We start from the raw sequence: 24,795 nt of genomic DNA on the forward strand, positions 1-24,795 counted from the left end.
TGTGAGCTCATATTCCTTGGAAATCTATCTCTTATAATTTGTTGAGGCCTGGATTTAAAATCTGTTTTCCAGAGAAGATTTGTATATATATTTCCCAGGCATAATTTACTACCTTGGCCTACTCTAAACAAAAATTGAAACACAAATTTTAAACAAAAATGGCTTATCCTTTTGTTGTTTTAGAATGATGGTGTCCATTTCTAATAATTATTTTTTCCAGTTTTCCCATGGATATATGGGTGGGGAAGATTGACCAGTTTATGTCACTATATATGTGTAAAATGAAGAAGTTAAAATCGTGTATTTTCTTCATGTAAGGTTAACCACTTGGCAGAGAATTGGATTAGACCAACTCAGAGAGGACAATCCTAATGAACTAAAATGGGAATTTCTCTAGAATGATAGAGCAACTGAACTAATTTCCTTCATTATGAAATTGGAGTCAATCAGCAAAAGATTTATTTGAATCCATCTTTACTACAAATTAACCATACAAATGTAAAAATAGATAAGTAGATTCACGATAGTCACTGCTGATGGTGTGTGGAGGTGTGTTTCTGTGTGGCAGTGTTAGACCAGGAGTGTGTAAAGGTGCAGAGAGGGGCTTAACAGTGTTCACAAGTTGCAGGGGCAACAGAAATGAGCAGGAAAATGCAGGTCCACCTGTAGGAATTTTACCTGCATCTATCTGCCCTCTCCAATTTCTTTTTCTTTTTCTTCCTGTTTCTATTTTTTTGAAATGGAGTCTCACTCTGTCGCCCAGGCTGGAGTGCAATGGTGCAGTCTCGGCTCACTGCAACCTCTGTCTCCAGGGTTCAAGCGATACTCCTGCCTCAGCCTCCTGAGTAGCTGGGAGCACAGGCACGTGCCACCACATCTGGCTGATTTTTGTATTTTTAGTAGAGACAGGGTTTCACCATGTTGGCCAGGCTTGTCTCGAACTCCTGACCTCAAGTGATCTGCCCCCCTTGGCCTCCCAAAGTGCTGAAGTTACAGGCGTGAGCCACCCACCGCACCCAGCCCCCTCTCTCCAATTTCTAATAGCACATTTTCCACGTAGATTGGATGGGCAATTCCAATATCTTGTGCTTCCCTAGACCAGTACTTCTCAAACTCACCTGGGGATCTTGTCAAAATACACATTCTGATTTAGTAGGTCTGGGGTGCAGACCTGAGATTCTGTATTTCCATTAAGCCCCCAGGGGATCTCAGTGCTGCTGGTCCATGTGCCAAATTTTAAACAGTAAAGTATGGCCTTAGCTTATGCCTCTAATCCCAGCTACTTGGGAAGCTGAGGCGGGAGAATCGCTTGAATCCGGGAGACAGGACTTTGGGAGGCCGAGGTGGGTGGATCACTTGAGGTCAGAAGTTCAAGGCCAGCCTGACCAACATGGTGAAAACCCGTCTCTACTAAAAATACAAAACAAATTAGCCAGGCCTGATGGCACATGCCTCTAATCCCAGCTACTTGGGAAGCTGAGGCAGGAGAATCGCTTGAACCCGGGAGACAGAGGTTGCAGTGAGCTGAGATGGTGCCATGGCACTCCAGCCTGGGTGACAGAGCGAGATTGTCTCAAAAATAAAGTAAAATAAAGTAAAGTAAAAAAATAAAGCAAACAGTAAAGTCCTACAAAAATATCTATTCTACAGTTTACACTTGCCTACCTAAAGCTCCACTGTTAACATTTTTTTTTTTTTTTTTTTTGAGATAGAGTCTCACTCTGTCACCCAGGCTGGAGTGCAGTGGCACAATCTTGGCTCACTGCAACCTCCGCCTCCCAGGTTGAAGCGATTCACCAGCTTCAGCCTTCTGAGTAGCTGGGATTATAGGCGCGTGCCACCACGCCTGGCTAATTTTTTGTATTGTTAACAGAGACAGGGTTTCACCATGTTAGCCAGGATGGTCTTGATCTCCTAACCTCATGATCTGCCCGCCACAGCCTCCTAAAGTGCTGGGATTACAGGCGTGAGCCACCGCGCCCAGCTGGAGCAGGTCATTCTTATGAAGACACATGGACTGCATGTTGTCTTCATTATGGTGAGGTATACAAATAGCATTGACAGTGCAGCCTCAGAGGGAACACCCTCTCCTCCTGTTTTCTCTTTCTCTTGTTCTTCCCCTCTCCAGCCAAATATTTGAAATCGTAAATGATGTGGGACCTTGTGAAGTCTTCCTGTATCTTCGTTGTTGCTTTGGTCAAAACCTCATCCAAATATGGCAGTTAAAATCCTACCCAGGAAAGTCTCCATGAAGCAATGGGAAGTTTTAGGGGTGATCTCTATACAAATCGAAGTGCTTCTCAAAGAGAAGTGATTATTTGGACATTCATCTGCAAGAAAACCTTTGGTGATCACTATTTACTTTGGAGAGGGAGGTGTTTCCATAAGACATTTCCCCCAAGATTAATAGAAAGCAGGAAGGCATCTTCTAAGGAATTGTATGTGGTGCTACTGAAATTTGTTATCCCATAGAGCAGTAGGTGCTGATGCTCACATGAGCAGCCAGAACCGGAGGAGAGCGTCCGGAGGCCGCAGTGTGTGAACAGGCTGTTAGGGGCTTGTTTTAATCCAAAAGACACCAGGAAATCAGACCAGAACAAGGTGAGAGGAGAACTGGGACCACAGGTTCACCCAAACCAAGAAACAAGAGAAGCCAGGAGATCACATCTGTGCTACAGAAAGAGAAATGAAAGAAGGTTGGGTGAAATGAGGAGGAGTTTCTCTACCTGTAGGCCTGGAGGTACCTGGGCCAGGCTGTGACAGGCCATGGGTGTACCCTGGCAGCCTGCTCTCCCCGTCGTCTGACATTGATTGACCAACTCATTCATTCTTTTTTTTTTCGAGACGGAGTTTTGCTCTGTTGCTCAGGCTGGAGTGCAGTGGCACGTTCTCAGCTCCCTGCAACCTCCGCCCCCTGGGTTCAAGCAATTCTCCTGCCTCAACCTGAGTAGTTGGGACTACATGGCGCATGCCTACAGGCATGCGCCACCACGCCCGGCTGATTTTTGTATTTTTAGTACAGATGGGGTTTTGCCATGTTGGCCAGGCTGGTCACGAACTCCTGACCTCAGGTGATCCACCTGCCTCGGTCTCCCAAAGTGCTGGGATTACAGGTGTGAGCCACTGTGCCCGGCCTCATTCATTGTTTCATTCAACAGATATTACCAAGCACCTAGTACTCACCAGGCATTCTTCCAGATTCTGGGGATATAATAGTGAACAAGACAAACTATTTCCTTTACGGAAAGGAGGGGGTCAGCCCAATAAACAAACAAACATGTAAAAATGTCCTGGGAGACTATGGAGAAAAATAAGCAATGTAAGAGGATGGAGACCGTGTGTCCTGGGTGATTTGCTGTTTCATATAGAGTGCTCAGGAATGGGATCTCCAGTGATGGTGAGCAGAACCGAGAGGACGGGAGGGAGCAGGCTCTGCATTCTCTATTCAGGCAGAAACATTACAGACCTTAGTCACAGAGGACCTGGAAGGGCCCAGAACCTTCTATTACCAATAGGCTTTAGTATCCACACCTTTGGCCTAGCTCTCAAAATATTTATACTGGCCTCAGTGACACCTTATTTAATGAGATGCTTACATACTTTTTTTTTTATTTTAAAATTTGGATTCTAAGGTTATTCCAGAGGAAATATTTGTGGGTTTCTAATTAGTAGGTCCCACAACTGAATTAAGATGGAATGAGGCAGCCTGGGGGTTCAGAAAAGGCTCAGAAAAAAAATTTCACCAAGTGAAATTTCAGGTGAGACCTGAAGGTTGAGTGAGATTTAGCTGGGGTGGAAGGAAGGGCTGAGTGGCTCAGAGGAAACAGTATGTGCAAAGGCCCTGGGCTGGCTTGCTTATCCTGAAGATGTCATTTTCAAGATGACACCGTACAGTCTTGAATCTCCAAGCACAGGAAGGATACCTTCTCCTCAGTGTAAGCCAAAGCTGTTACGCACCATCCTCTCTGCAGGCATTTTGGTGTGTGCACATCCTCCCTTCCCTGCCCCATGCTGCTATTTGTGTGTTGGGGATCTTGTTTAATTAAAGAATCTTGATTCTGATTCTTTAATTTCTTAGAGCCCTCCCCAGAGCCTTGAAACCATTTTTTATGGCACCTGACGTGTATCTCCCTTGGGTCCTGAGGGTGTCAGGCCTTCTGGCCCTGAATTCCTGTTCTCTTGATTCATTGCCAGGCTTGGCTGGGCACTTATTCAGTGGCATCTGGAAAATAACTTTCCTGCTCCGTGTTTTAGCTTTTCAAAACTAAAACCATACCATTCTATAATCTCACAGTCATATTGTGATGTCTCCATTAAAAAAAAGTTTACAATGATTTGAAGAAAATCTTATATATTTAGTTTTGTACTAGATGGACTAGAGAACTAAAATATGTACTTATAAGTGTACTCAGGTTTTGGAAAAACTGATACATGGAAATTCTTATAGCATAATTCTATTTGGAGAGTATTTTTTCACCTTAAAAATCACTAGTAGTTTCCTTTAAATAATTTTCCCAGTGTAGTTAAAATCAGATCAAATTTTCAAAAAACTCAGTTCCTGTTCAGGCTTTCAGCATCTGTAGGGAGACATTCACTGGATAAGGAGAAGCACATCTGTATTGCTCTTTTGCCTTCCTCCACCCCCCACACCAGGACTTGCTAGGCCTCTCCCCCTGGAACCATCTCATTTCTAACCTTCAGGTGGACCCCTTTGTGCCCACCCGTAGATTCCATTTGGCCCAGATTCTGGAATCGGAGCTGCCCTTGGAATGCCCTGCACTCACTGGTCTTCTCTTGCTCCCAAGTCTACGCTAGCTACTGCCCCATCTCTTCACTCCTTTTTCCAACAAAGCTCTTCAGAAAGTAGTCTCCACTGATTGTCTCCAATCCTTCCCCTCCCATTATATCTTGAGCCCTTTGTTTTTTGAGACAGAGTCTCGCTCTGTTGCCCAGGCTGGAGTGCAGTGGCACCATCTTGGCTCATTGCAACCTCCGCTTCCCGAGTTCAAGGGATTCTCCTGCCTCAGCCTCCCAAGTAGCTGGGATTACAGGTGTGCACAACCACATCCGGCTTTTTTTTTTTTTTGAGACGGAGTCTCGCTCTGTCGCCAGGCTGGTGTGCAGTGGCGTGATCTCAGCTCACTGCAACCTCTGCCTCCCGGGTTCAAGTGATTCTCCTGCCTCAGCTTCCCGAATAGCTGGGACTACAGGCATGCGCCACCACGCCCAGCTAATTTTTGTATTTTTAGTAGAGATGGGGTTTCACCAAGTTGACTAGGATGGTCTCGATCTCCTGACCTCATGATCCGCCTGCCTCAGCCTCCCAAAGTGCTGGGATTACAGGCGTGAGCCACCGTGCCTGGTCTAATTTTTGTATTTTTAGTAGAGATGGGGTTTCACCACGTTGGCCAGGCTGGTCTCAAACTCCTGACCTCGAGTGATTCACCTGCCTCGGCCTCTCAACGTGCTGGAATTACAGGTATGAGCCACAGTACTTGGCCTTGAGCCCATTTTAATCAGGCTGTCACCCCTCTTCCTCCTCTCAAACAGGAGATCTACTGCCTTTGTCAAGGTCACCAGCCAAATCCAGTGGGCACTGCTCAGTCCTCCTGTTCCTATGGAGCTTGTTACTCTCTCTGCTGTCTCCCTGTCCTTGGCCTCTGGACCAGCATTCTCTCAACTTCTCCCCACTCCCTCACACTCTTTCCTGGATCTTTCTCTCCCTAATCCCCAACCACTGGAATATTCCAGGGCCCAATCTTCAGACTTCTCTCCTCACTGTACAGCAACTCCCTAGCTGGCATCATTTAGTCATGTGGCTTTAAATACAGTAGTCCCCTCTTCTCCGCAGTTTTACTTTTCTTGGTTCCAGTTACCCATGGTCACCTGTGGTCCCAAACTATAAGATATTTTGGGGCCAGGCACAGTGGCTCATGCCTGTAATCCCAGCATTTTGGGAGGCCGAGGAGGGCAGATCACTTAAGGTCGAGACCAGCCTGGCCAACAGAGTGAAACCCCATCTCTACTAAAAATACAAAAATTAGGCTGGACGCGGTGGCTCACACCTGTAATCCCAGCACTTTGGGAGGCGAAGGTGGATGGATCATGAAGTCAGGAGTTTGAGACCAGCCTGGCCAAGATGGTGAAACCCCATCTCTACTAAAACTACAAAAATTAGCCAGGTGTGGTGGCAGGGGCCTGTAATCCCAGCTACTCAAGTGGCTGAGGCAGGAGAATTGCTTGAACCCAGGAGGCAGAAGTTGCAGTGAGCGGAGGTCACACCATTGCACTCCAGACTGGGTGATAGAGCGACACTCTGTCTTGAAAGAGAAGAAAAAAAAAGAAAAAGAAAAAATTAGCCAGGCATGGTGGCACGTGCCTGTAGTCCCAGCTACTTGGGAGGCTGAGGCAGGAGAATCGCTTGAACCTGGGAGGTCCAGGTTGCAGTGAGCCGAAATGGTGCCACTGCATTCCAGCCTAGGTGACAGAGCAAGACTAGGTCTCAAAAAAAAAAAAGATATTTTGGGAGAGAGAGAGGCAGGGAGGAGAAAAGAGACTACATTCACATAACTTTTATTACAGTAGACTGTTTTAATTGTTCTAGTTTATTACCAGTTACTGTTAATTTCTTACTGTGCCTAATTTGTAAATTAAACTGTATCATGATTATGTATCTATGGGCAAAAACACAGTATATAGGGTTTGGTAATATCTGAGGTTTCAGGCCCACAGACCCACTGAGGGTCTTGGAAAGTATCCCCCACAGATAAGAGGGCACTTCTGTATATTGTGAAAACTACCAAATTCATATTTCAGCTGGGACTGCTCTTCTGAATGCCAGACTCATATCGTATCCAACTGCTGACTTGACATCTCCACCTGAACATTTAACAAGGCATCTCAAATTTAACATGTCCACAATGAAAGTCAGATTCTACCTTGCAAAACAGGCTCTTTCCAAAGTGTGAATAACGGCTTCCCAAAGATGTCCACATCCGAATCCCCAGAACTTGTGCATGCTACCATACAGGGCAAAAGGGACTTTGCAGATGTGAGAAAATTAAAGATCTTGAGAATGAGGAGATGCTGCTGGATTATGTGGGAGGGACCAATGTCATCACAAGGGTCCTTATAAGAGAGAGGGAGGAGGATCAGAGTCAGAAAGAGAAAGGAGATGTGACAGCTGAACCAGAGGCTGGAATGACGTACTCTGAAGATGGAGAAGAGGCCATGAGCCAGGAGATGCAGGCAGCCTCTAGATGCTGGAAAAGACAAGGAAATGGATTCTCCCTTGAAGCCTCCAGAAGGAACACAGCCCTGCCAACCCCTCGACTTTATCATTTATTTATTTATTTGTTTATTTATTTATTTATTTATTTTTGAGACACAGTCTCCCTCTGTTGCCCAGGCTGCAGTGTACTGGCATGATCTCAGCTCACTGCAACCTCCACCTCCCAGGTTCAATTATAGGCCTGCTCCACCACACCTAGCTAATTTTTTTTTTTTTGTATTTTTTGTAGAGACAGGGTTTCACCATGTTGGCAGGCTTGTCTTGACCTCAGGTGATCTCAGGTGATCCACCTGCCTTGGCCTCCCACAGTGCTGGGATTACAGGCACAAACCAAGCCACCACACCCAGACTCAACCCCTTGACTTTAGGCTTCTGACCTCCAGGACTGTAAGAGAGCATACTAGTGTTGTTTTAAGCCACTAAGGTTGTGATAGTTTGTTATGGTGGCAATAGGAAACCCATACACAAGCTTCCCCGTGTCAGTAAATGGTGACACCAGCCTTTTAGTTACTCCAGAGAGACACTGGTGTTGTCCTCATTTTTTTCTCCTTCTCACACCCCAAATCCAATTCATCAGCAAATCCTATTGGCTCTGTCTTCAAAATATATCCAGAATCCAACAACTGTTCACACCCGCCACCAGCTACACACTGGTCTCCTTTTTCATGGAGGACTACAGGCACCCCCTAGTGAGCCTGCGTGCTTCCCCCTCGCCCGTCTGCGGTCTATTCCACACAGCTGCCAGCGTGATCAGGTTAACCCAGAAGCCAGACTTTAGCATTCCTCTGTCATACCCTTCGATGGCTCCCCACCTCATGAGGAAGAGAAGGCCATGTCTTTACCATGGCCCACAGTGGCTCCCCCAGTCTGGCTCCTGGACACCTCCCTGAGCTCATCTTCTGTCCCTGCCTCCTGGCTCAAGCTCCAATCCCACCAGCAGGTGCTGCCTAGAGCGTCCTTCAGGAGCTGAGGCGTGCTCCTGGCTGCCACCCCTCGGATGCTGAGGTGGCCTTGGCTGGAGAGCGCTGTCCCCCTCAACACCCTATCTCACTCCCTTCTCAACGTAGCCAGTATCCAGTGGCTGAATGGTTTGGAGGTGTAAAGGCCTGTCCCCTCTCCCCAGCTCAGAGCAGCTCTGAAGGGCCATCCTATCTTCAACATCCCCATGGGGTTGTCTGGGGCTTTAGTTGAGACTGCATCACAGCTCATCCCCCTCTGCCCAGTCTTGCTTCCTGCCCCTCTTTCCCTTCCATGGTTTGATCCCAAGAGCACTTCCTAGTAAGCATCATATGTGTGCCAACCATCATCTCAGACACTGCTTTCCCTGACCTGTGAACCTGATCTCTTTGCTATACCAAAACACCCCAAGTACCCTTGATCTCAAAGCTTCTGCGGTAAGTGTTCCTTCCGCCCGCAAAGCTCTTCTCCCAGGTATTCAGGAAGTTTACCCTCTCCCTTCCTTCAAGTCTCTGCTCAAATGTCCCATGGCCTGTGGCCTTCCCTCACTACCTTATGTAAAATAGCAAACACCACCACCGTCACCAGCACGACGAACTCCATTATGCAGCTTTTTTCCCTATAGTATTTAACCTAATTAGATATATATTTCCTTGTTTATTCATCTTCTCTCACTATACTCCAGTTTCACGAAGGCAGATACTTGATCTACTTTGTTCATGGCTACTTCCATAATAACTAGAATAGTGCCTGCCACATAGTAGAGGCTTAGTACCGAGTCAGGCTGGTGCTGGTCTTGCTGTGACCTGATTCCAGTAATTGGCTCACCACCATAGCCCCTGTGATGAAAGTTTCGCCTTGAAGCTTTTCATCTTGACCCCTTTGATACCTTTGATTCTGTGTCAATGCCATCATGGCTTCCTTTATATCCTCCACAACTAAAGGCCCACCTGTGTTTTCCTCAGTCTTTCTAAAGTCCTACCCTGTGGCTTAGTCCCTCCATACCTGCCCTTAAGCTGGAGGAACCCCACCTCTCAGGCTCCAGGTGCACTTGTGTGGTGGATTACCGAAACTCTCCCACTCCAAGTCCCCATTCTCATCAACGTCCCTCCAGGGTCTGGCCAGGCTCCCTAAAAGCCCTGTCCAAACTATGAGCCACACCTTGACCTTCAGCATCAAAGAGGGCTTTACTGCAGGGGAGGAAGCTCCCATAAGAGCCAGAACGACCTGGGTGTGAGTCCCAGCTCTGGCATGTACCAGTGGGGCAGCCTTGGCAGGTCACTCACTTCCCTGAGCAATGGCTTACTCCCTGGTAAAGTTAAGTCAATGATGTCAGCCTCGCAGAGTGGCTGTGCAACAAGACATGAACATGTATGAAAACAGTCAGTAAATTTCTCCCGACTGAACTGAAATCCTCTGAAGCACCTGCCCTGTTGTGTTAAATGGAAAAGTGTGGTGTCCTTAGGAAGAAACTCTGACACTAGGTAGCTCTATGTGCAAAAGAATTTGCTGTGGGAAACCTTTCAGTACAACATGAAGTTCCATGATAATTCCAAACATATGTGAACGATATATAAGCTGTGTAGCAAAATCATATTGTCAGCCAAGTATACTAGGTCTAGGCATGATCTCAAGGATGGGAAAAGTTTGGCTTCACCTCTGAAAGGTAACCCTCAACCAAGAGGTAGCACAAAAGCATAATCGGTGGATGCGTTTCCCTCCCCCATCCATGCCTTGCCCAGATTTAATGGAAACATTTATACTAAACCTTGCCAAATTCACAGAAGTTTTTCCAGTTCCCATTACTTTGCTATTCAAAAGGAAGGGAGTAATCGCTTCAGAGGTAGGGTGTGGTACAGTACACTTAACAGAGTGCTGAAAGCAAGTTCAACACAGATGACCAATGTTGCCAGATTGCACAATTCTCGAGTTATTTTCGTGATGGGCAATGTTTTTCCTTTTTATTCCGTTTTCCTCCCTCTGGAGTTGGCTAATGATTTCCAGTGAATAGAACTCTGTCCAGTACAATCCAGTTAGCCCACAATGAACAGACTGTCAATGAGAGATGCTGCATTGACAGCCTTTATTTTAGTGGGCTCCCCGTATAGTAAAGATGGAAAAGGAACTGCTGTTGGGGGCATTCATTTGTAATTTGTGCTCTTGGTCTGGAAGTGGGCCATTAGCTCAGCAAAGATAATACAGAAACATACAATAAGGTCACCACTCTTTCTGAAGCCTGATCCATCATCTCTTGGAGAATCAATACCTGTATAGACACGTTATGAATGTGTTTAGTCTTTTCCTACGTGACCAGGTAGGAAGCTTCCTGGTCCAACCTGGGTGGGTGCTTCATGTTGGCTTGGCAGGTAGTGTCAGGCATCTGGAGATACAATACACATGTTTAGCTCCCTGCAATCAGCAGGCTGGTACATTCACTACCAGCTGCATTTTCTCTGTGATACTGCCGGAAAGAATGTGCTTAAAGTCACTATTGATTACTCTTTAATCCACACTATGTTAGGAGCAAAATTGAATCCGACAAGACATGGTATCTCTTTTCCACATACTTTGTGCATTCCAATAAAGAGGGCTGTCCTTGAGAGTATGAAGTGTGTATCCAAGAAGCCAGGCAGATTCCTTCGTATTCAGCCCACGGATTGTTCAGAGATTCCCAATTTCCTCCTGGGGAGTTGGGTGCAGGAGTCAAGAGAGATATTTGAGTCAGGGAATATTTCCCAAGAGGAGCCTTAGTATTTAAACATCCATTTTCTTTCTTTCTTTCTCTTTCTTTCTTTCTTTCTTTCTTTCTTTCTTTCTTTCCTTTCTTTCTTTCTTTCTTTCTTTCTTTCTTTCTTTCTTTCTCTTTCTCTCTTTCTTTCTTTTTTTTTTTTTTTGAGACAGAGTTTCACTCTTGTTCCCAGGCTGTAGTGCAATGGGCGTGATCTCAGCTCACTGCAACCTCCACCTCCTGGGTTCAAGCGATTCTCCTGTCTCAGCCTCCTGAGTAGCTGGGATTACAGGCGCCCGACAACAGGCCCGGCTAATTTTTGTATTTTTAATAGAGACGGGGTTTCACCATGGTGGTCAGGCTGGTCTTGAACTCCTGACCCCAGGTGATCCGCCTGCCTCAGCCCCCCAAAGTGCTGGGATTACAGGCGTGAGCCACCACGCCTGGCCCAGTTTTCATTTTTAAAAAATCTATTACATGCTCATGATAAAAAAAATTAAGCAGTGCACAGTGAAGAGTATACCCCCCTCACAGCATTCCCCCCTGCAGTTCCCATCCCCCCAGGCAACTACTGTTATGAATTTTTTTGTGTATCCTTCCAGAAAGAGTCTATGCATATAAGAGCAGCTTTGATTTTTGAGATGCATTTTTGTATGTTCAGTTCAAGTGGTTCACAAGATGCCTTTTCCAAATAACTCCATGGCAACGCAACTCTGGAACTCACACGCACATGGATGTATACATGGACACACACAGTCGTTCTTTTGAGCATAAAATGGAGGGGAAATGATGCAACAGAGAGTGAATAGAAGGCATATTCCAGTAAACCACAGTGGTTAGTGGCTTCTCAGATGGTTCCAGACAGCTTTTTATACAGAAATAGCTCAGTGAGAACACCCCAGCCTACTCAGACTGCAGAACAAATCCCAGGAACTTGCTTTTGTGCAATCTCCCCCTTGAAGCTCAAGTCTAAACACATCAGAGCTTGGCAGGGCTGCATGGGTACATTAGCGAACAGACAGAACACCCTGGCTCCTCAGGCGCTCCTTGTTTTTTTCCCTCTGGACCAGCAGATTTTTCTTACAGCTTACACCTGCTCCTCCCCGACCCCCAACAACATGCAGAAAAGGAAAGCCCCTCAAGTTTTCCTTGATCAAGAGGTTAAATAAAAAAACAACTCTCTTTCACACTCTAAGGGAAAGGAAAATAAAAACCACCAGTAGCTAAGACACACACACACACACACACACACACACAAACACACACACACATTTGGCAGAAATAAATTAAGAAAAATCATTCTATGTATGAGACCATTCTGAAACTAAGTGATGCATGATATTATGCAAATTTGCAAGGTGTATTTGTCCTCAGAATAGAGATGGCTGAATGGGAGTGATAGTGTCTTGATAAATTGTTGTTCTAGAAATTTTCCAGAACTGAAATGTGCAACAGGACATTTGAGAACTATCTTTTATCTAAATACTGATGTATTAATAATATAGCAGTATTAAAAGCACTGTCATAATTATTAGTAAAATTAGCTCATCTATAAGAGTCTGAATAAAAATGTCTCATCAAAAGCCAAATTCTAATGTAGGAGCCACATGGAAACCAATAGAAAAGAAACATTTCCACTGCATAGGCTGATATACTTGAAAATACAGGTCTTACTCCTGGTCAAAGAAATAGTTGTTTATACAGTTTTGAGGATACTGACAAGATCACTCTTAAGAAAATACTGCCTCACCTTCTGGCTAGTGCCTGAAAATCCTTTTCTAGTTGAGAAAACCTTAAATTCCTCAATAACAGATAAAGTATAATAGGCAAATTCCCCTGAAAAGAACAGCAATAATAATAATAATGCTAATTTCCTGAGCACTTACTTGTGGTAAATACGTTACTTTCGTTCTTACTCAGGACTCCACATGAATGATCTCCTTTAATCCCTGCAGAAGCTAATTTCCAAGATGGCTTCCTATAGCCCTTGCCTCTGCATATTCATGCCCTTCTGTGGGGGCTTTCCCTTCAATCTGAGTGGGCCCTGTGACTCTTTCGTAATCAACAGAATGAGGCAGAAGTGGTACCGTGTGGCCTTTGCAAGGCTAAATCAGGCCTTACAGCTTCTGCCTTGGTCCCTTAGGATGCTCATTCTGAGAAAGTCAACTGCTAAATACAAAATCCAATTATCCTGAAACCACCATGTTGTAAGGAAGCTCAAGCTAGCCATGTGGAGTAGCTGAGTGGAGAAAGAGATGCCTGGCCAGCCCTCAGCTATTCTAGCCAGATGTGTGAATGTAGAAGCCATCTTGGACATCCAGCTCCTTGTAGCTTGTGGATGGTTTGGGGCCCACCCAACTTCTGAGAATAGCTACATGTGAGACCCCAAGTGAAAACAGCCCAACTGGGCCCGGCCAACACACAGAATCATCAGAAATAGTAAAAAATTGCTATTTTAAGTCACTAAGTTTGGGGGTATTTTGTTACACAGCAATATGCAACTGAAACAATCCCGTATTTATGCTACAAGGTTTTTCGTTGTTGTTTTGTTTTGTTTTTCCAAGACATAGCCTTGCTCTGTCACCCAGGCTGAAGTGCAGTGGCACGATCTCAGCTCACTGCAACCTCTGCCTCCTGGGTTCAAGCAATTCTCCTGCCTCAGTACAGGTGTGTGCCACCATGCCCAGCTAATTTTTGTATTTTTAGTAGAGACAGGGTTTCACCATGTTGGCAAGGCTGGTCTCGAATTTCTGACCTTGTGATCCGCCTGCCTCGGCCTCCCAAAGTGCTGGGATTACAGGCGTGAGCCACCGCACCCGGCCTGTTTTTTTTCTTTTCTTTGTTTTTTTTTTGAGATGGAGTCTTGCTCTGTTGCCCAGGCTAGAGTGCAGTGGCGCAATCTCAGCTCACTGCAACCTCCGCCTCCCGAGTTCAAGTGATTCTCCTGCCTCAGCCTCCTGAGTAGCTGGGATTACAGGTGTGTGCCACCACACCCGGCTAAATTTTTCTGTATTTTTAGTAGAGCCAGGGTTTCACCATGTTGGCCAGGCTGGTCTTGAACCCCTGACCTCAAGTGATCCGCCTGCCTCGGCCTCCCAATGTGCTGGGATTACAGGCGTGAGCCACTGTGCCCAGCCTGCTACAAGGTTTTGAAGCTCACAATTAACTCTCCAACATCAATTTTACTGCTTCCTCGCTGTGCCATTTGAGGAACTGACCCCAGTCTACAGGTTCCCCTGATTAGTTTATGCTAGTAGCTCTCAAAGTGTGGTAGCATCATTGTCACCTGAGAACTTGTTAGGCAAATTCTCGGGCCCTTCTCTGGACCTACTGAATTCAAAACTCGGGCCAGCTGGGCGTGGTGACTCATGCCTGTAATCCCAGGACTTTGGGAGGCTGAGGCAGGCGGATCACAAGTGCAGGAGATCGAGACCATCCTGGCTAACATGGTGAAACCCCATCTCTACTAAAAAAAATAAAAATAAAATAAAAATAAAATTAAAAAAGCCAGGCATGGTGGCAGGCGCCTGTAATCCCAGCTACTCTGGAGGCTGAGGCAGGAGAATGGCTTGAACCTGGGAGGCGGAGGTTACAGTGAGCCAAGATCATGCCACTGCACTCCAGCCTGGGCGACAGAGCAAGACTCCGCCTCAAAAAAAAAAAAAAAAACAAAAAAAACAAAAAAAACAACTCCAGCTGAGGCCATCATCTGTGGGGTCTGATACATCCTTCAGGTTATTCTGATGCGTGCTCATGTTTGGGAACCACAGGTGTCTGTACCAGTCACGGTAATCCTATCCCTCCTTGCTAGTGACAACGAAAATGAGTGATGGAGGAATAAGTCTCGAATCATTGCGGTTTAGCAAGGCAGCTTAAAGGGAGTGCCCAGGAAAAATGCGAGTCACAGAAGCATCTGTGGCTGTTTTTTCCAAAGAGGGTCTCAGGAGGTTTAGCATTTATACATTTTCCTGAAGAAAGTGGGGCAGGGCATGAGACAAATGATTACATACTTGTGAGACTTTAGTTGGTGCTCATTTTTCCTAAGATAAGGTGAACATTTGAAGAAAAAGGGAATAGAGGAAGAAGATGTCTGAGGAGGGGTGAAGGTGTCTTTGTTCTGTACCTGGAAAGATAAACTAGTAGTCTTTTGAAAGGGCTGGTTTCTGTTTAGCCCTGAGGGAAGAAAACCTAATAGCTGTTATAGAGGTAGGGGGTATAATGAGGCGTGTCCAATCTCCCATCCCCTCATGGCCGTGAATTCAGCTTGCAAGATTCCCTTGGCCAAGAAGGGGTCTGTTCAGTCAGTTAGGGGCTTGGAATTTCATTTTTATTTCTTACTCGTGATTGACTTAGGAATCTAGGCTCAAGCCAATCAGCACATAGCATTCCCTTGATGTCAGTTATTAGTTTGTGGTTAAGGGAGTGGCCCTGTGTCTTTGTGGCAGCCATTCTGACTATGAAGGGAGCCAGGCTTAAAAGGCAGCTGACACTGAGGATGGAAAGCAGAGATGCAGAAAGAACCTAGGTCCTTGACACCAGGGTTCAATCAGCCTGTCCCATCTGTGAACTTCCAGTTACATAGGCCAATACATTTCCTTTTTGGTTAAACTCATTTGAGTTGGCTTTTCCGTTAGTTGCCGCTGAAAGCACGCTACCAGATACAGTAAGCATTATAATCCCTACTTTTACACAGGAGAGATTAGTTCAGACAACTAGGAAGCAGATGCGCTAGGATTTTTTTTTTTTTTTTAAGACAGAGTCTTGCGCTGTCACCCAGGCTGCAGTGCAGTGGCACGATCTCAGCTCACTGCAACCTCGGCCTCCTGGGTTCAAGCGATTCTTCTGCTTCAGACACCTAAGTAGCTGGGACTACAGGTGCACACCACCGCACCTGGCTAATTTTATGTATTTTTAGTAGAGACGGGGTTTCACCATGTTGGCCAGGCTGGTCTGGAACTCCTGACCTCAAGTGATCCTCCCACCTCAGCCTCCCAAAGTGCTGGAATTAGAGGCATGAGCCACTGTAGCCGGCCCATGCTAGGATTTGAATCCAGGTCTCTGTTGTTAAATCCCACTTTTATAATGAAGCCATCAATGGTGAGATTTGTCCCTTTCTGGAAAGTAGAGGGTTTTGGTGAGTTAGGGTACTAAGACTACAGGCGGGCAGTGGGCATCAGACAAAAGAAGGGATACCATGGAATGAGGAAAAGGTCGGGAGAGAGGAGGGAGGATGCATACAAGACAAATCACTCCTGCTTAAGTCTTTTCTGGGCCGGCCCCAGGCTCTGGTATTTCTTTATGTCCTTAAATCAAATGACGTCCTTTCTCTTCTCCTCTTCCCCAAAATGCAAGACCAACACTGGAAGAGTGGAAAGCCAGTGTTCCTTTGAGGAGGAGGCTGATTGGTCCAAGTAGTTCTATAAACTGCATCCACCCACATCACGCTACTCCAAAGACACTTTATAATCACAAAAGAAACAATCCGGAAGATTCCAGTTGTCAATGCAGCTTGAATTGTAGCAGCAGCAGACCTTGCCCAAAAACATATAACATGGCATAAAGTCAGGATTGTTATAACCTTGGGGATCCCAAGGCTCCGTGCTCCCTCCGTGGATGCCAACGTTTGCGGGGGCTCGTGTCTCTGTTCCGCTACACCGCTGCCTCCGACGCAGGTCTGCTTCATCTCTCCCACCACGTTTCCTGCCTCCTCTGGTGCCCCCCTCTGACAGTCATGTGGCTAATTTTAAACCGTAATCTGAAGCCCAGAACCGGGAAAGTCCCATGGTCCGAGGGTGGCCACAGCTAAAGGACACTCGGGAAACATGACAAAAGGCTTTGGAGAAATGAGGCAAACAGGAAGGGGACAACTTTCTCTCCAGTGAGGATCAAGAGTTTAAAATAAGAGCAGAACATCCTTGTTAAAAAATACTGCAAAGGGCTTTGTGCTAACTTGAAACTGATTGCTAAGGGAAGCAGATAGTAAGTGGAGCACTATTTTAGTACTAGGAAGGGACACCAGTAAGAGGACAGTCCTTCTGATGAGGTTTAATTATATAAACTAATTTCTTTTCTTTTCTTTTCTTTTTTTTTTTTTTTTTGAGACAGAGTCTTGCTCTGTTGCCCAGGCTGGAGTGCAGTGGCCCGATCTTGGCTCACTGCAACCTCTACCTCCCAGTTTCAAGTGATTCTGGTGCCTCAGCCTCCTGAGTAGCTAGGACTACAGGTGCCCACCACCACATCTGGCTCATTTTTGTATTCTTAGTAGAGACGTGTTTCACCATGTCGGCCAGGCTGGTCTCAAACTCCTGACCTCAGGTGATCTGCCCGCCTTGGCCTTCCAGTGTGCTAGGATTACAGGCATGAGCCACCACGCCCAGCCTATATAAACTAATTTCATCCTCCTAAGGACCACATGAGATAGGTATTACTATTACCCCTATTTCACTGAGGAGGAGACTGAGGCACTGAGAGGTTAAGTCATCTGCCCACCGTCATACAGGGTTCAAACCAAGGCAGCCTGGCTCTGGAGGGCACACTCCTTGCCAGGACACAAGGCAAGGAGTCCTGAGGAGGAGGAGTCCATGTTAGCTAACAAGGAGTTCATGTTAGCAGGGGTAAGCACAGAGAAGAATGGATGGGTCCAGACACCTTCTCAGAGGAAGTCAGTTTTGATAAAAAATGAAGATTGGCCGGGCACAGTGGCTCATGCCTGTAATCTCAGCACTTTGGGAGGCCGAGGCGGGAGGACTGCTTAAGCCCAGGAGTTTGAGACCAGCCTGGTGCAACATAGCAAGACCTTGTTTCTACTAAAAATAATTTTAAAAATTAGCTTAGGTGTGTTCCTATGATCCCAGCTACTCAGCTGAGAGGCCGAGGCAGGAGGACTGCTTAAGCCCAGGAGGTTGAGGATGCAGTGGGCCTTGATTGCCCCATTGCACTCCAGCCGGAACTACAGGAGAACTGTCTCAAAAAAGAAAGAAGAAAAAAAAAAAAGATGGAGATTCAGGGCAATGTTGAGAGTGAATGAGAATGAGTTATATTAAAAAAAAAAAAAAAAGGAAAAAGATTGCCCTTTTTGGTCTCCCTCCCTCCCTCCCTCCCTCCCTCCCTCCCTCCCTCCCTCCCTCTCTCTCTCTCTCTCTCTCTCTCTCTCTCTCTCGTTCTTTCTTTCGACACGGTCTCACTCTGTCGCTGGAGTACAGTGGCGCGATCATGGCTCCGCCTCCTGCGTTCAAGGGATCCTCTCCCTACTGCCTCAGCCTCCTGAGTAGCTGCAACCACAGGCGTGCGCCACCATGGCTCGCAATCGTCCCGCCTTGGCCTCCAGGGTTTGGGTTACCGGCGCGAGTCCCCGCGCCTGGCCTCGGTGGCTTATGACGGCCGTGGGGCGATGCGAATTTGCTCACGGAGGGCCCCGTCTTTGTGCGCTTCAGTGTTAGCGCTCCTGGATGCTAGTCCCGGGGCCTGTGTGCCCCGAGCTCCAGGCTGGACGCGCCTTGGGATCAGAGTTGCGGGGCTCAGAGGACGGCGGAATCGCTGGGCTCGCCGTCCTTAGTTCACCGATGAGGTACCTGAGCTTCGCGGAGATTTTGTGGGGCCCGGACCAGAACCTCCACGCTCCGGAGTCTCAGCCTAGGGTCCTGCGGCCACCCAACAACTCCCTGAACGACCTGGCCCAGCGGCCTGAGAGGGCCGGGCCTGCGACAGGAAGCCCGCGGAGAGGCCAGGAGGCCGCCTCAATCGCGGGGTTCTGAGCACACCCGTCTTGCCTGCCTGGGCCTGGGTCTGTCCGGAGTTTGGGGGAGCAGGGAGGAGGTCGCCAGGGCTCTCCTCTGGCGCGGGTGTCTTGGGGTCCCCGGGTCCAAGCGCTGAACCTCCCGCCTGGGGCCACGAAGCTGTTGGTGGCGCCCCCTTCTGGCTCCATGCGGACTCGTTCCCTGGAAGAAGCCTCCCTGTGGACAGGGAGCCCCTGCCCGCCACGCGCGACCGCCAGCCCGCACCCGCTGCAGGGGGCAGTGAGCAGGCCCTGCCCTGCCTTAGGAACCACAGTGCAGCTGGGCATACGCTCATAAACGGATGATTGCATTTTATTATTATTTTTATTTTTGAGACAGGGTCTGGCTTTGTTGCGCAGGCAGGAGTGCGGTGGCGCAATCTCGGCTCACTGCAGCCCCCAGCACCCAGTTTCAAATGATTCTCCTGCCTCAGCCTCCTGAGTAGCTGGGACCACAGGCATGCGCCACCATGCCTGGCTAATTAAAAAAAAAAAATTTTTTTTTTTAGAGATGGAGTCTGGCTCTGCTGCCCAGGCTATAAACTATGATCTCAGTTTCTCTCCTTGTGCTGATCAGAAGTAGACTTTGCCCCTTGTTGATCATTTTAAACGTAGGGATGATGACTAGATTGTTTCACTTCGTCATCACTAAATCCTTTTTTTCCTTTTTTTTTTTTTTTTTTAGACGAAGTTTTGCTCTTGTTGCTCAGGCTGGAGTACAATGGCGAAATCTCAGCTCACTGCAACCTCCACCTCCCAGGTTCAAGCACTTCTCCTGCCTCAGCCTCCCGAGTAGCTGGGATTACAGGTGCCTGCCACCACACACTGGCTAATTTTTTGTATTTTTAGTAGAGACGGGGTTTGCCCACCTTGGCCAGATTGGTCTCGAACTCCTGACCTCAGGTGATCCACCTGCCTTGGCCTGGCAAAGTGCTGGGATTACAGGCATAAGCCATTGCGCCCAGCCTAGTAAATCCTAATAAAAAGTGATTTGGGTTTTAACAGCAACCAAAGCATTTTCTTCTAAGGGAGAGGAGTCAGGAGTCATGGAAGGGGACCCACCACGGCGTCATTTGGACCCCAGGCTGGGCCTTCCAGCCACCATCTGTGAGCTCTGCAATGAAGCACAACATTCTCTGGCTTGGGTTCTTCATCTGTATATTGAAGATGTAGACGGATAGATGATTTCGGAGGTTCCTTTTAGCGTTACTACTTGCTTTTTCTTTTTTAAAAGAATGGTGCACTTTCTGAAGTTGTACTTTTTTAATGTCAGCTTTATTGAGACATATTTCAACACACAATTTACCCATTCAAAATGTGCAATTTAATGGTTTTTAGTATATTTACTGAGCTGTACAACTATCACTATGATTGATTTTAGAACAGTTTCATCACCTCAGAAACAAATCCTACCTGATTAGCAGTCACCCTCTATTTCACCCGAAGTCCTCCAGTTCCAGGCAACCATAAATCTACTTTTTATCTCTACGGATTGGCCTATTCTGGTGGCACTGTCTCATAGACACAGAAACACACCATCGGCCAGGTGAGGTGGCTCAAGCCTATAATCTCAGCACTTTGGGAGGTCAAGGCGGGCGGATCACTTGAGCTCAGAAGTTCAAGACCAGCCTGGCCAACATGGCGAAACCCCTGTCTACTAAAAATACAAAAATTAGCCGGGTGTGTTGGTGCGTGCCTGTAATCCCAGCTACTCTGGAGGCTGGGGCAGGAGAATCGCTTGAACCCAGGAGGTGGAGGTTGCAGTGAGCTGAGATCATACCACTGCACTCCAGCCTGGGACACAGCAAGACTCCATTTCAAAAAAAAAAAAAAAAGAAACACACCACCACCGGAATAGGCAAATATACCTTACATTTTTAACTCAGAAGAAGTTGGGGTGAAAAGATGGTGTGCCCTCCAAATGTCCCAATTTTTCCTGTGCTTTTTTGGGATCTGAAGTCCTGCTTTGCTGGAGAAGAGTAGGAGACACTCTTCTGGACTCCATTGATAGCTGAGAGCAGGCAAGAAGGGTTTTATGCAAATAAAGCGCAGATTTTGGATGAGATGTGAATGCTCGCAAGGGCCTGGTCAGGATTTGGGTAGCCCAACATTCTGGGGAAGTTTTTAAAAGTTGCTGAAATTTGTTTTACTTTTTCATGAAGTGTTGCAGATGGTCAACTTGGATGATTAAGAATGAGATATCCCAGGCCGGACGTGGTGGCTCATGCCTGTAATCCCAGCACTTTGGGAGGTAGAGGCGGGCGGATCACCAGGTCAGGAGTTCGAGACCAGCCTGGCCAACATGGTGAAACCCCGTCTCTACTAAAAATACAAAAATTAGCCAGGCGTGGTGGCAGGCTCCTGTAGTCCTAGCTAGTTGTGAGGCTAAGGCAGGAGAATCGCTTGAAACCGGAAGGCAGACGTTGCAGTGAGCAGAGATCACGCCACTGCACTCTAGCGTAGGCGAAAGAGCAAAACTCCGTCTCAAAAAAAGAAAATAAAAAGAATGAAATATCCCAGTTAATGATCTTGTCACAAAAGAAGGGTACTGAAAGCTGGGCTTGGTGGCTCACGCCTGTAACCCTAATGAGAGGTGACAGCGTGCTGGCAGTCCTCACAGCCCTCGCGCGCTCTCGGCACCTCCTCTGCCTGGGCTCCCACTTGGCGGCACTTGAGGAGCCCTTCAGCCCACTGCTGCACTGTGGGAGCCCCTTTCTGGGCTGGCCAAGGCGGAGCCGGCTCCCTCAGCTTGCAAGTAGGTGTGGAGAGAGGCGCGAGGGGGAACCAGGGCTGCGCAGCGCTTGCGGGCCAGCTGGAGTTCCAGGTGGGCGTGGGCTTGGCGGGCCCCGCACTCGCAGCAGCCGGCCGGCTCTGCCAGCCTAGGCAATGAGGGGCTTAGCACCCGGGCCAGTGGCTGCGAAGGGTGTACTGGGTTCCCCAACAGTGCCAGCCCACCGGCGCTGCTCTCGATTTCTCACCAAGCCTTAGCTGCCTTCCCGCGGGGCAGGGCTCGGGACCTGCAGCCTGTCATGCCTGAGCCTCCCACCCCCTTCATGGGCTCCTGTGCAGCCCGAGCCTCCCCAATGAGCGCCACCCCCTGCTCCACAGCGCCCAGTCCCGTCGACCACCCAAGGGCTGAAAAGTGCGGGCGCACGGCGCGGGACTGGCTGGCAGCTCTACCTGCAGCACCTATGCGGGATCCACTGGGTGAAGTCAGCTGGGATCCTGAGTCTGGTGGGGACGTGGAGAACCTTTATGTCTAGCTCAGGGATTGTAAATACACCAATTGGAACTCTGTATCTAGCTCAAGGTTTGTAAACACAGCAATCAGCACCCTGTGTCTAGCTCAGGGTTTGTGAATGCACCAATCGACACTCTGTATCTAGCTACTCTGGTGGGGCCTTGGAGAACCTTTGTGTCGACACTCTGTATCTAGCTAATCTGGTGGGGACGTGGAGAACCTTTGTGTCTAGCTCAGGGATTGTAAACGCACCAATCAGCGCCCTATCAAAACAGACTGCTCGGCTCTACCAATCAGCAGGATGTGGGTGGGGCCAGATAAGAGAATAAAAGCAGGCTGCCGGAACCAGCAGTGGCAAACCGCTCGGGTCTCCTTTCACGTTTTTGGAATGTGTTTTGCAATAAACCTTGCTAGTGCTTACTCTGTGGGTCTACATTGCTTTTTTGAGCTTTAATAGTCACTACAAAAATCTGCATCTTCACTCATAAGGCAGCGAGACCACGAACGCACCAGAAAGAAAAAACTCCAAACACATGTAAACATCAGAAGGAATAAGCTCCTGACGCGCCACCTTCAGAGCTGTAACACACCGCGAGGGTACGTGGCTTCATTCATAATTTCAATGAGATCAAGAACCTACCAGTTCCAGACATACTAGCGCTTTGGGAGACCAAGGCAGGCGGATTTCTTGAGTCCAGGAGTTCATAGACCAGCCTGGGGAACATGGCAACACTATCTACAAAAAAATACGAAAACTAGCTAGACATGGTAGTGCGTGCTTGTAGTCTCAGCTATATGAAGGGCTGAGGTAGGAGAATGGCTTGAGCATGAGGAGGCAGAGGTTGCAGTGAACTGAGATTGCACCACTGCACTCTGGGTGACAAGTGAGACCCTGTCTCAAAAACAAGGGTACTGAATCAAACAAGTATTTAAGGCCTAAACTCAGGGTGACTCTGAGACCCAAACAGTGGGCTCCATGTCAACATCAACCCCTTTATACGAAGATTCCCCAATAAAAATATAAATATTCACAATCACCCTGGGGTCTGCATGGAAGATTGATGTATAACACTTGAGAGCTTACGGATATGTCCATGGGTTACCTACGTTGTTTTAATACCTACTACAGTCTGTACCCTAGATACTCGAAGAAGAATGTTCTTTTACTAGGATACTGCATCTTAGTAAATTCACCTTAGTACCCTGGGGTGGTTGCCAGGGAGGGTACTAACAGAAGTTTGCTTGTTTGGTGGTTGGGCAAGTAATATTACTAGTAATTACTAGCAAAGGATTCCAGTTATTGCATGCAGACTACACATTTTATATGTAGGTATGGGGTTTTACTATTTATTTATTTATTTAGAGATGGAGTCTCACTCTGTTGCCCAGGCTGGAGTGCAGCGGAATGATCTCGTCTCAGGGCAACCTCCGCCTCCCAGGTTCAGGTTGTTCTCCTGCCTCAGTCTCCCGAGTAGCTGAGATTACAGGCACCTGCCACCATGCCCGACTAATTTTTTTGTATTTTTAGTAGAGACGGGGTTTAACCATCTTGGCCAGGTTGGTCTTGAACTCTTGACCTGTGATCCACCTGCCTCGGCCTCTCAAAGTGCTGGAATTACAGGCGTGAGCCACTGCACCTGGCCAGGGTTTTATTGTTTAGAAAATATTTTCATGTATTTGACCTCATTTGATCCTTACCACATGTGGTCAGCCAGGTAGGGTATCTATTCCCTGGAATCAGAATGCTTCGGTTTGACTCTGACGTCACCATTTATTAGCTATGTGTTCTTGGGCAAGTTACTTCAACTTTTTTATTACTATTTTTTTTTTTTTTTTTTTTTTTTTTTTGAGTCAGAGTCTCACTCTGTCACCCAGGCTGGAGTGCAGTGGCACAATTTCGGCTCACTGCAACCTCCACCTCCTGGATTCAGGTGATTCTCCTGCCTCAGCCTCCTGAGTAACTGGGATTATAAGTGCACGCCACTGTGCCTGGCTAATTTTAATATTTTTAGTAGAGACAGGATTTTGCCATGTTAGCCAGACTGGTCTTGAATTCCTGACTTCAGATGATCCACCTGCCTCGGCCTCCCAAAGTGCTGGGATTACAGGCATGAGCTACCACGCCAGGCCCACTTTTTTCTTTCTTTCTTTCTTTCTTTTTTTTTTTTAAATAAATAGAGATGGAGTTTCCCTATGTTGCCCAGGCTGGTCTCAAACTTCTGGGCTCAAGGGATCCTCCCAACTTCACCTCCCAAGATGTTGGGATTATAGGTGTGAGCCACCTCATCCAGTCTACTGAAACTTTCTATACCTCAGTATCTTCATCTGCAAAATAGAGATCACTGTAGTACTTACTTCATAGGGATGTGATGAAGATTAAATGAGATTGTGATTACTTTAAAACTATGCCTGGGCCGGGCGCGGTGGCTCACGCCTGTAATTCCAGCACTTTGGGAGGCTGAGGCGGGTGGATCACAAGGTCAGGAGTTCGAGACTAGGCTGGCCAACATGGTGAAACCGTGTCTGTACTAAAAATACAAAAAAAAAAAAAAAAAAAAAATTAGCCAGGCATCGTGGGAGGCACTTGTAATTCCAGCTCTTGGGAGGCTGGGGTAGGAGAATTGCTCGAACCCGGGAGGCGGACATTGCAGTGAGCTGAGATCAGCCACTGCATTCCAGTCTGGGTGACAGAGCAAGACTCTGTCTCGGAAAAACAAACAAACAAACAAAAAAACTATGTCTGGAGGCCAGGTGTAGTGGCTCATGCTTGTAATCCCAGCACTTTGAGAGGCCAAGGCAGGCAG

At 47.3% G+C, this 24,795-nt stretch overlaps 4 annotated features.

Moving 5' to 3' along the window:
- Positions 4,661 to 4,870: a silencer, noted in NCBI's record as "fragment chr6:13755870-13756079 (GRCh37/hg19 assembly coordinates)". NCBI's record gives its function as "represses an EF-1alpha promoter that drives an FKBP-Casp9 reporter gene in an ReSE screen in phorbol 12-myristate 13-acetate-treated (for megakaryocytic differentiation) K562 erythroleukemia cells {active_cell/tissue: K562(+PMA)}" and the evidence as "EXISTENCE:reporter gene assay evidence [ECO:0000049][PMID:32094911]".
- Positions 14,211 to 14,310: a silencer, noted in NCBI's record as "silent region_16938". NCBI's record gives its function as "represses an Ori minimal core promoter by ATAC-STARR-seq in GM12878 lymphoblastoid cells {active_cell/tissue: GM12878}" and the evidence as "EXISTENCE:reporter gene assay evidence [ECO:0000049][PMID:35858748]".
- Positions 16,716 to 16,775: an enhancer, noted in NCBI's record as "active region_24039". NCBI's record gives its function as "activates an Ori minimal core promoter by ATAC-STARR-seq in GM12878 lymphoblastoid cells {active_cell/tissue: GM12878}" and the evidence as "EXISTENCE:reporter gene assay evidence [ECO:0000049][PMID:35858748]".
- Positions 18,119 to 18,619: an enhancer, noted in NCBI's record as "H3K27ac hESC enhancer chr6:13769328-13769828 (GRCh37/hg19 assembly coordinates)". NCBI's record gives its function as "activates a minimal SCP1, AML or CMV promoter by ChIP-STARR-seq in naive H9 embryonic stem cells {active_cell/tissue: H9 hESC(naive)}" and the evidence as "EXISTENCE:reporter gene assay evidence [ECO:0000049][PMID:30033119]".

This window comes from Homo sapiens, chromosome 6, assembly GCF_000001405.40.
Source record: "Homo sapiens chromosome 6, GRCh38.p14 Primary Assembly".
NCBI classification, from domain to species: domain Eukaryota; kingdom Metazoa; phylum Chordata; class Mammalia; order Primates; family Hominidae; genus Homo; species Homo sapiens.